Source organism: Homo sapiens, chromosome 2 (genome assembly GCF_000001405.40).
Source record: "Homo sapiens chromosome 2, GRCh38.p14 Primary Assembly".
NCBI lineage: Eukaryota > Metazoa > Chordata > Mammalia > Primates > Hominidae > Homo > Homo sapiens.
Genome location: NC_000002.12, coordinates 165,418,347 through 165,430,353, shown reverse-complemented (window position 1 = coordinate 165,430,353; position 12,007 = coordinate 165,418,347). Strand labels below are relative to the sequence as shown.

At 40.6% G+C, this 12,007-nt stretch overlaps 2 annotated features.

The window, feature by feature from the left end:
* Positions 2,925-3,860: an enhancer, noted in NCBI's record as "H3K4me1 hESC enhancer chr2:166283004-166283939 (GRCh37/hg19 assembly coordinates)". NCBI's record gives its function as "activates a minimal SCP1, AML or CMV promoter by ChIP-STARR-seq in primed H9 embryonic stem cells {active_cell/tissue: H9 hESC(primed)}" and the evidence as "EXISTENCE:reporter gene assay evidence [ECO:0000049][PMID:30033119]".
* Positions 6,735-7,349: an enhancer, noted in NCBI's record as "NANOG-H3K27ac hESC enhancer chr2:166279515-166280129 (GRCh37/hg19 assembly coordinates)". NCBI's record gives its function as "activates a minimal SCP1, AML or CMV promoter by ChIP-STARR-seq in naive H9 embryonic stem cells {active_cell/tissue: H9 hESC(naive)}" and the evidence as "EXISTENCE:reporter gene assay evidence [ECO:0000049][PMID:30033119]".

Sequence of the window (12,007 nt, the reverse complement as noted above, 5' to 3'; positions counted from 1 at the left end):
TTGTTCTTGCAATAGTTTACTGAGAATGATGATTTCTAATTTCATCCATGTCCCTACAAAGGACATGAACTCATCATTTTTTATGGCTGCATAGTATTCCATGGTGTATATGTGCCACATTTTCTTAATCCAGTCTATCATTGTTGGACATTTGGGTGGGTTCCAAGTCTTTGCTATTGTGAATAATGCCGCAATAAACATACGTGTGCATGTGTCTTTATAGCAGCATGATTTATAGTCCTTTGGGTATATACCCAGTAATGGGATGGCTGGGTCAAATGGTATTTCTAGTTCTAGATCCCTGAGGAATCGCCACACTGACTTCCACAATGGTTGAACTAGTTTAGAGTCCCACCAACAGTGTAAAAGTGTTCCTATTTCTCCACATCCTCTTAAAAACAAGCAATGGGGAAAGGATTCCCTATTTAATAAATGGTGCTGGGAAAACTGGCTAGCCATATGTAGAAAGCTGAAACTGGATCCCTTCCTTACACCTTATACAAAAATCAATTCAAGATGGATTAAAGACTTAAATGTTAGACCTAAAAGCATAAAAACCCTAGAAGAAAACCTAGGCATTACCATTCAGGACATAGGCATGGGCAAGGACTTCATGTCTAAAACACCAAAAGCAATGGCAACAAAAGCCAAAATTGACAAATGGGATCTAATTAAACTAAAGAGCTTCTGCACAGCAAAAGAAACTACCATCAGAGTGAACAGGCAACCTACAAAACGGGAGAAAATTTTCGCAACCTACTTATCTGAAAAAGGGCTAATATCCAGAATCCACAATGAACTCAAACAAATTTACAAGAAAAAAACAAACAACCCCATCAAAAAGTGGGCGAAGGACATGAACAGACACTTCCCAAAAGAAGACATTTATGCAGCCAAAAAACACATGAAAAAATGCTCATCATCAGTGGCCATCAGAGAAATGCAAATCAAAACCACAATGAGATACCATCTCACACCAGTTAGAATGGCAATCATTAAGAAGTCAGGAGACCCTGCTTCTAAAAAAAATCTTAACCCTTGAGTACATATTTTTTAAATGTTCTCTGTGATTAAATGGAAAGTATGAATAAACCACTTCTGCTTCATACCAAAGTATGATAGTTGTCTCAAGGAAAAGCACATGTGTGATTGAGTCAGGAGCTAAACAAGCTGTCTTTTTTTTTTTCCCATGAAAAGCCATTTTTACTTGAAAGAATGACTGGCAGACTGGTGTTTTAGATTTGGGTATTTGGCAGGCAGTTTCTTGGATATGAAGGAAGTGAGTCTGTCATTTCAAAGAAAACTCAGGGTTTGTTGCCAAAGATAAAATCTGAGCTTTCAAGCAAAAAATTAGAATTTTGGAAATTTGTTTCTGCCACCGTTTACTTGAGGGCTTCCCAACACTTAAAGTTTTTTCTGAGAACAATGGTAACATTAACAACTGTGATTTTGATATTGTCTAATAAAATGTGTCAACATCAAGGACATTCATTTAACTCAATGAATGAATATTTTCTAAATGACGAAGCATGATGTTACAAAACAATGCATTGTAAAATATGTGTTCAAAGTGCAAGAGAGACGAAAAGATTTTAATGTAGCAGAGTGCAAAGATTTCATTGATATAATTTCAAATTTCACATTGCAGCTAACCTTTAAAAAAAACTACCCTTGTCAATTTTTGTAATAGTAATAAAATAATATTCACAATAATCTACAAAGGTTATTAACATATTTCTCACTTTTTCAACTACATATCAATGTGAGATAATTTTTATTAATATAATTCAACTAGAACAACATATTTCAACACTTTAAATCCAGAAACTGGTATGAGAATCCAACTGTCTTCTATTAAGGCTGACATTAAAGAGATTTGCAAAAATAAAAACCAATGCCATTTTTCTCACTTGTTTTGAAAAACAGCGACTTTTTTTTTTTTACACACAGAAAATTATTTATACCAACACATATTCAGTTCATTGTTGTTATTTTAAATAGATTTTAAAATAAATATTTTACAATTATCTCAGTTTTAATTTCTGATACAGTAAATATAGTCCATGTAAACAAAGGCTCTTTGGGATTTTCCAGAAGTTTAAGATTGTCTTGGAAACAAAATTTGGGAACTGCTGTATTAGAATACATCTATTAGATCAGGGAGCTCATGCGGGGATGCCAGGTTTGTAAGTCTGGGAAGTTTTCATTGCAGGAAGGGAAATGTGATTGTCATGGAAGTGTCATGGGATCCTTGGGGTGTCATTTTTCCAGCTAGAAACCTCTGTGGCTGGTGGCATCTTTGCCCAAGTTTTGCTCAGGCCTGCTGGGCTCTTTCAGCCCACTTGGCCTGACAGGCTATGCTCAGCTCATGCTACCGGCCTGGATCCCACACCTGCCAAGGGTGAGACAGGCACAGAGAGCAGCGAGGGGTGTGTGGGCATGTGTGGGGTCCAGCCACTGTACACGAGCAGGCATTTGCTGGCTGCAGTGTGGTAGGCAGCTCCAGGTGCTGCCACAGGTGCCAGCACCATGCGAGGCTGTGGATGGACCAGGTGTACCACAAACAGCTTCCACTGTGGGTACTGGGGAACATGGTGGCTCCCAGAAGCTTGCAGACACCAGGAATCACAGAGCCCCAAAGACAGTATCACAGCCCTGGCTCAGGGAGCTCCTAGGTCTGGGCTCGTTTAAGGGCTGCAGCTCTTTTCTCCTCATCATCAGCAATGTGGTGAGTGGGGGGCATGTTTCAGCTGTTTGCATTACAGGTCTTTCAGTCCCACCATCTGGCAGATCCTGGGTTGTCGTCCCACATCCAGGAAGAATGAGGTACATGGACAACTAGAGGGTAAGCAAGGTGGAGAGGGGTGTCACTGAGCAACGGAACAGCTCTCAGGAGACCTGAAATGGGTAGCTTCTTCCTGCAGCTGGTAGTCCTGATGTCTGTCTGAGTTTGGTTGAGTCTGGGTTTTTATGGGGTCAGAGGGAGTAAATGTGTGCTTACTGGTCCATGGGCAGCTATGGACAGGCCCAGAAAGAGCACTATAAGTTCTCACCCTAGGCCAAGGACTTAATCTGGAAATGGCAGCCCAGGCCCCAGGCTTCAAGCTGTTTCTGGCTTAAAGGTGGGGTTTCACCAGGGACCCACCCCTTTCTGCCCAGGAGCCCATCTGCCTTTTGCCATCAACATGCCATCTATGGCACTAGGCTGTTCATGCTGAGGGGTACCTGCAGGCATGCACTGAGCTGCCCTCACCATCCCCCACCTCCTTCCCAGGATCAGTGGCACCCAAAGTCCAGAGGGGGACAAGGCAGCAGGGGGCTGGCATGTCTGTGCTGCCCCAAGCATGTACACACCCAGCCAGGTCATGACAGTGCCCAGGTTCGACCACAACTTTGCTCTGCACTGAACCATGTGCCAGGAGATGGGTGAGGCCAGAGAGCAGAAGCAAGCACTTCTGAGCCTGCAGGAGTGGGGGTGGGGGTTTTCAGGCCCCCCGAAGGCACAGGGATGCCCGGGTCCAAAGCCACAGCTGGGTGGCTGCAGCTGCACCCAGTTCCTAGCCCCCAACAGCTCTGCGGAACATGCAGCCTTAGCCACGCCTCCCCTGCTGCAGCCAGCATCTTGGTAGTGGCCACTCCAGGCGGGCCTCAACTCCCATCAGAAGGTTGAGTAAAGTTTCTTTATTTCAATGGTTCTTAAATACAATATTTATCAGAATCACTTAGAGTGCTTAATAAAACAGATTTCCTGTCCCACCTCTGGAGTTTCTGATTTAGTAGGTCTGAGGTGGAACCAGATAAGTTTTACTTCTAACAGGTTTCTAGGAAATACTGATGCTATTGGTCCAGGGACCACACTTTGAGAACCACTGCTTTGTGTAAATAAGTGAAGGAAGGGCCATTTGAAAACAGAGACTTCAGTGACTGCTGGTGCCAATTAACCATAGTAGCCAAATTTCATAGATTGAGGGCACAAGATTGCCCTTACCTTATATAATAGCTGTAAATTCAGAGGTCCCCAGGACACTCGTACTCTGACCAGCTGGCTACAATTACTGGATTCCCCCGAACCCCTCAGGCTTAATTATTTACTAGAACAGCTCACACAACTCAGGAAAGTGCTATACTTATGATTATAGCTTTATTATAGTAAAAGGATACAAAAATATAATTAGCCAAAGGGAATGAGGCATAGAATGAGGTTTCGAAGGGTCTGAAAAGCAAAGCTTCCATTTTGTTCCCCATGGAGTCAGGATACCCTTCCAGCATATTGATGTATGACAGTGCATAGAGACTTGCTAACCAGGGGACTCACCTGAGGTTTGTCCAGAGTTTTTGTTGGAGTATCATCACATAGGCAAGATTGATTGAATCACTGTCCATGTGATTAAACCAAATCTCTGACCCCTTTATGCTCCCCAGATATTGAGCTAATATCAAAGTCCCAATCCTCTCATCACATGGTTGGTCTTTCTGGTGTTGCCAGTACCTGTCCCGAGTCATCTCATTAGTATAAAACATGTAGAGTCCACCATGAGTTACCTCACTAGTATAAACAAGGTCTACCATGAATACCATAAACACTCCTGTCACTCAGGAAATTCCAAGGATTTTGAGGCTACTTCTCATAAACTGGGGATGGAGACCAGCCAAATTCTTTATTATACTACAGAGATCAAACGCATAGGCACTGAAATATAGACACCTGAATATGCATGTTTTGCATGAATAAATACTTCTAGTCAGGAGTGGCTTGACTCCAAAGTATTTTGAAACATAAAATAAATAATAAGTCCAGAAAAGCAGTTTGGGAACATTTTATCGGAGATCTTTGAAAATAGCCTAAATATTTTATTCTTTTAATAACAGCAAATCTTTACCTATAACTGTATATATTTGTTACCATACTGCTTTAACCTGAATTCTATTTTAGTAAGATTATGGCAATTCAAAAGATGTCAGGAAGAAGAATGTGGTTTAACCATGTTTCTTAAAAATCTAACTTATATATTATTTGCAACTGGGCCAGTGAAAATTCTCTGAGACTAACAGCTTAACCAAAATAACAAGAGCTGCCCTCATGCTTCCATACAAGTCAGTATCTGACTTCTTAGTTCTGATTACCTATTTAGCTCCAACCCTGGATTCTACATCTGCTTTTGTCTCTGCTAGTCAGTTATCCATTTTGTTTTCTGACTCAATTTTTCTTTAGGATTTCAGCTTTACGGATCCTCCCTAAAATAGTTTTTTGCACCTCAACTATCAATGTTCATTCTGACCCTTCAGCTTGCGTATAGGTGACCTCTCACAATTCCATCATAACCAGCTGCCTAATTATATCCTCCTATTATCAAGTTGGCCATGAAGGACAAGAAATAACTAGTTCCATAATAATGCATTAATTTCTGCATTCTTGCATTTTTCTTATATGCCTGCTCTTTCACTCCCTTACAGCTCTCAGCTCTCAGTCACATAGTGTTATTTCTGCCCTGGCACACTGCTTGGCCATGGCATGATGCATTGTATACAATGAGCACACTAATTCTATCACAATATCTGCATACTAACTACTTCGGCTGAATTGACTATTATACTAATCTACTCTATTCCAAAAAACAGGGGTCTTTAGAATTGTGGTATACAATAAAGAAAACAGCATCTGGCCTGGCTTTGAGAGATTCTGTACATGACTTAATTGCTAGGTACTAAGTGATAAATATGAACAAACAAGCTCATAAAACTTATAGACTAATGGCTTAGAAGTTGCTTCATTATAAACAATATCAGTTAACTACTAAACACATTCATATTACACACATCTACTTAATTATAGTCTACTAATATACTACTATATTGTGTATATTATAAAGCATATATAAACTGGAAAATAAAAAGGATAAATTAAATAATACTTGTATATTCTTCAAAATTTCTACTGTTTTTGGCTAACTTCTTATTAGATTTATAATATGGTTTGGATCTGTGTCCCCACCAAATCTCATGTTGAATTGTAATCCCCTGTGTTGGATGTGAGGCCTGGTGGGAGGTGATTGGATCACAGAGATGGAGTTCTCACGAACGGGTTAGCACCATGCCCTTACTGCTGTTCTTGTGATAGTGAATGAGGGAGTTCTTGTGAGATCTGGTTGCTTTAAAGTGTGTAGTGCCTACCCCTGCAACCCCCATGCTCTCTTTCCTGCTCCAGCCACGTAAGACATTCCTGCTTCTCCCTTCACCTTCCACTATGATTATAGGTCTCCTGAGGCCTCCTCAGAAACCAAGTAGAGGCTATCATATTTCCTGTACAGCCTGTATAATCATACGCCAACTAAACCTCTTTTCTTTAAAAATTACTCAGCTTCTGTTATTTCTTTATAGCAATACAAGGATGGAGTAATACAGAAAATTGGTACCAAGAAGTGGGACATTGCTTCAAAGATACTTGAAAAGGTGGAAGTAGTTTTGGACCTGTGTAACAGGCAGAGGTTGGAACAGTGTGGAGGGCTCAGAAGATAGGAAGATGAGGTAAAATTTGGAACTTCCTAGAGGCTTGTTAAATTATTGTGACCAAAATGCTTATAGTGGTATATACAATGAAGTCCAGGCTGAGGAGGTCTCAGATGGAAATGAGAAACTTATTGGGAATTGGAGCAAAGGTCACTTTTGTTATGCATTAGCAAAGAGGTTGGGTGCATGGTGTCCCTGTTCTAGGGATCTGTGGAACTTTAAACTTGAGAGTGGTGATTTAGGGTATGTGGTGGAAGAAATATGAAAGCAGTGAAGTGTTCGAGATGTAGCCTGCCTGCTTCTAACAGCCTTATCTCATATGTGTGAGCAAAGAAATGTCTTGAAACTGGCAACTTATATTTAAAAAAGAAGCAGAGAATAAAAGTTTGGAAAATTTGCAGCCCGGCCATGTGGTAGAAAAGAAAAGCCGATTTTCTGTGGAGAAATTCAAGCAGGCTGCAGAAATTTGCATAACTAAAAGGAAGCCAAGTACTGATAGCTAAGACAACAGAAAGGAAATGGCCTCCAAGGCATTTCAGAGGCCTTCCTGGCAGCCCCTCCCATCATCAGCCCGGAGGTCTAGAAGAGAAGAATGGTTTTGTGGGACAGGCCCAGGGTCCTGATGCCCTGCACAGTCTGAGGACAATGCTCACTGCATCCCAGCTGCTACAGCTCCAATTCCAGCTGTGGCTCACAAGGGCCCAGATATAGCTTGGGCCACTGCTCCACAAGGTGCAAACCATAAGCTTGGTGGCTTCCATGCAGCGTTAAGCCTGCAGTTGTACAGAGTGCAGGAGTTGAGGCTTCAGAGCCTCTGCCTAGATTTCAGAAGATGTATGAAAACACCTGGATGTCCAGGCAGAAGGCTGCTACAAGGGGAGAGCCCTCAGGAAGAACTTCTACTAGGGCAATGTGGAGGGAAAATGTGGGGTTGGAGTGCACACACAGAGTCCTCACTGGAGCATTGCCTAATGTAGCTGTGAGAAGAGGGCCACTGTCCTCCAGGTCCCAGAATGACACAGCCACCAACAACTTGCACTACACTCCTGAAAAAGCCACAGACACTCAATGCCAGCCAATGAGAGCAGCTGTGGCAGCTAAACCCTGTAAAGCCACAGGGGCAGGGCTTCCCAAGGCCTTGGGAACCCACCCCTTGCATCAGTGTGGCCTGGATGTGAGACATGGACTCAAAGGAGATTATTTTGGAGCTTTTAGATTTAATGACTGCTCTGCTGGGTTTCAGACTTGCATGGGGCCTGGATCCCCTTTGTTTTGGTTGATTTCTCCTTTTTGGAGCAGAAGTACTTACCCAATGCTAATACGCTTATTGTATCTTGTAGGTAACTAACTTCTTTTTTATTTTACAGGCTCATAGGTAGAAGGGATTAGCCTTGTCTCAGATGAGACTTTGAACTTTGGACTTTTGAGTTAATGCTGGAATTAGTTAAGATTTGGGGGGACTGCTGGGAAGGCATGATTGTATTTTGCAATATGAGAAGAGCAAGAGATTTGGAGGGGCCATCAGCAAAATGACATGGTTTGCATCTGTGTCCCTACCATATCTCATGTCAAATTGTAATCCCCAGTGTTGGAGGTGGGGCCTGGTGGGAGGGGCCTGGTGGGAATCATAATGGTGGAGTTCCCATGAATGAATTAGTACCATGCCCTTGGGGCTGTTCTTGTGATAGTGAGTGAGTGAGTTTTTGTGAGATCTGGTTGTTTAAAAGTGTGTAGCACCTCCCGCTCTTTCTCTTTTTCTCCTGCTGTGGCCGTGGGAGATGTGCCTACTTCTCCCTTTGCCTTTCACAATGATTTTAAGTTTCCTGAGGCCTCACCAGAAGCCAAATAGATACTGCCATACTTGCTGTATAGTCTGCAGAATCATGAGCCAATTAAACCTCTTTTCTTTATAAATTACTCTGTCTCAGGTATTTCTTATAGCAGTGTGCGAACAGACTAATATAATATGATTAGATTTTCATTGCTTTTACCTGATTATCTGGGTGAAAAAGAGGTCTAACCAGTAAGTGAAAGTGTGATTTTTTTTTCTCATTGTTATGTAAATTTCATAGTCCCTTGCAGGGATCTTTTTAAGCCACTTAGATAAAGAATCCAGACTATCTCTCTCATTTTAACGTAAAATGTCTTTAAGACATTGGTTCCAAACCAGGGTAAGTAAGTTCTCTATTTCCTGATCCCTTAGGCATGGAAGATGGATACCTATCTCAAGGGCAACCACCCAAAGTGGCCTGACAGGAAGTGCTCTAAACACAAGTAAGTAGCTATGTCAGCCAGATTCCTTCTCTAGAATTTAAACCGGGAAACAGAATTTGCAAGAGCAGGGCGTGTGGTAGCAGAAGCTGAGAGGAACTCCAGGAGGCATGTGGTGGCGAGACCTGTGGAAGCCATGAGGGAGGTAAAGATATGAAGAAGCTGAAGCTGCAAGGGAGAAGAATGAGCTGATTGGGGGAAGGCAAGATCAAAAGATGAGTTCCATAATTGCCCAGGAATGATGCACTCAGTCAAGAAGACAACCAAATCAATGGAACCCCAATACTGTGTGGACAATTCCACTACTTATGTTCCATTTCCACGAGCATCAAACATTTGTTCATCAGTTCCTGGGTTCCTATGGGGTCTTGCCTCCCTTGTTTGCCACATATATCTTTTTAATAAACTCAAACAATTTAAAGTAGCATAAGTGAGTTTCTGTTACTGAGCAATAAACAATACAACCCACCTATCTGGGGTCACTTTTTAAATATTTGATTATTAAATAATAAAAAGCCAAAAAAAAAAAAAGATACAGATGTAGGGGTAGAAGGGGTCTTTTTTGTTTGCTATGAGTTTAAGAGCTTTTTTCCAGTATATCCAGGTTAGGAGATATATTCAGTGCCTTTTTATTTGCACCAGTTTGGAAAGAATTAATAGGAGCGGGGCAAACAGAGCAAACATCACCCCTGCCAAGAGGCTGATGTTCTTCCTCCTCTTTCTGAAGTTCAACTCAATCAAACTGAATGAAGCCATTCAAGAAATACCCATGGTTGTTGGGAATATCTTGAAAATAGCAAACAAGTAGAACAGTTAGGTACACCTTTTTACAGAACCTATGAATAATATTGTTTTAAAATCCATTTTGTTGTGGCAAGAACAAAATCGTACAGAAGAGTATTAAATAAAAAGTCAAAGTCTTCAGCCCCAACGTCTAGTCTCCATTTCTGCTTACCAGAGGTAATGATTCTTAACAGTTTCAGGCATAGCCTTCCAGAGTATTTATTTTTAAATACACATCTTTTTATATAAATGAACTTGTACTAAACATACTCTTTCTTTTCTTGCTTGCAGCAGCTATCTATTTCTATTAATACAAATCTTCCTCATTCTATTAACAGCTGCAGTGCATTGTATTTGGTAGTTGTCACATCATTTATTTAACCAGAACTCTACTGATGGGCAAGTAGGTTATTTCCAGTTCTCTGTTCTTATAAATAATGCAGCAGTGAACATTCTTCTACATGTATCTTTGTGTATTTGCATGAATATATTTATTGGATAAACTCCTAGAAATGGATTTGCTGAGTAAAGGGGATATGTTGATTTAAAATGTCATAAATATTGTGAAATTGCCATCCCAATTTGTTGTTTCAATTTACAGGAACCATGTTTAAAAAAAAAGTGATTTTCCCACACTGATACTAGACTAGATACTATAAAATCTTTTTATTTTTGCCAATATTATGGGTTTAAAAACTACTGTATTCATGGCTGGGCACAGTGGCTCACACCTGCAATCCCAGCACTTTAAGAGGCTAGGTGAGTGGATCACTTGAGGCCAGGAGTTTGAGAACCAGCGTGGTGATCATGGTGAAATGGCATCTCTACTAAAAATATAAAAATTAGCCGGTCATGGTTGTGGGCGCCTATAGTCCCAGCTACTTGGGAGGCTGAGGTGGGAGAATTTCTTGAACTCAGGAAGCAGAGGCTGCAGTGAGCCAAGATCACGCCACTGCACTCCAGCCTGGGCAACAGAGCGAGACTCTATCTCAAAAAATGTTTTCTTTTGTCACTTTTTTATGTTTGGGATTAACTTACAGTATATTTTCCTGCATATACATATATTTCAAAAAATATTTATATATATTCAACAGTACTAGTCATTTGCCTTTGACTTTGGGGATTTTTGTTAGAAAGTCATTTCCCACTAAAAAATAACACCAAAAAATATAGCTTGTGCATTCTTCTTTAATGATTTTATCTTTAATATTTAAATTTTGGGATGTCTGGAATTTATTCTAAGGACAGATATTGGGATCCATTTCTTTTCCAGAAAAACCATACAGCCTCCCAACAATATGCATTACAAAACTATCTTTTCTAATCAGTATGAAATATCATATCTTTCATGTCCTATATCCCTATATATATTTGGATCTATTTCTGATCTGAGTGAATATGATTGTGCTGATATACCTACTCCTGTGCCAGTACAAGCTATTTAAATTCCTATAGCTTTGAAAATGCCTTAATATCTGGTGGGAGTTATATCTGTTTCCTAGGGCAATTTGAAAGTAAGTGTAAAAAAAATCATAAAATTAAGTGTAATCTTTGACCCAGCAATTCCATTTCTGAAATTTTTAACTAAGAAAATTTTAAAAGTATGTATAATTGAACGATATATAATTCAAATTTCCCCAGGACCAATCAGGACATAGCACAAATTGGATCACAGTTAGAGTTATAACTAGAGTAACGAGTCATTTGCTTGAGAATGGGAGAGTTTCCCTGGGTCTTTCAGTGCTAAAACCCAGGAAATCCTCAAGTTAAACTGAATGCTTGGTGACCCCAGCTACCCAAATATTTTTGGTTCTCGTTCCTTCTGTTCCTACATGTTCTCTAGCTTCAGAAACATTCCTCTCTATAAATATTTCTGGGAGATTCCTAAGTTTCATCTGTGCTCACACGTGTGTGTTTCACATGAGCACACATATATATTCATCTCTATTCCTGCTGACACTGCTATTGTTCCACCTGCATAGGAGTTTCCAATAGATGCTACTCTCTATTGTGTGCTACTTTGTTGTCAGACTTTCCTACTTTTTTGGGTAGAGTGCACATCACTGCCTCTCTGCTTGGTATAGTATTACCTATCTGGTGTTAAGAAATCTCTAAAGCTGTGTGACTCCAGTTAGTCTGACTTTACTGCTGTTGCACATGTCTGCCACTCTATAACCAAGCACTGAGCCTCCAAGAGATAAACTGCCAGACTTCCAATCCTGAGAATAGTCTATGCCTTCTTTGCATGAAAGATACAGAGACCACGTTGATAGGGAGCTGCTAGAATGGTTCTCTGATCCTCCCAAATCTCAATTCATCATTTGCTTGTGCTTGTCTGTGTAACTGAGTCCTCGAGCCTTCCCTCCTAAAAGGAGTTTTCAAGGGTCTGCCTGGTCACCACATGGTTGACATTACATTCATGTTATATTGCCTTCTCTGCTTATAT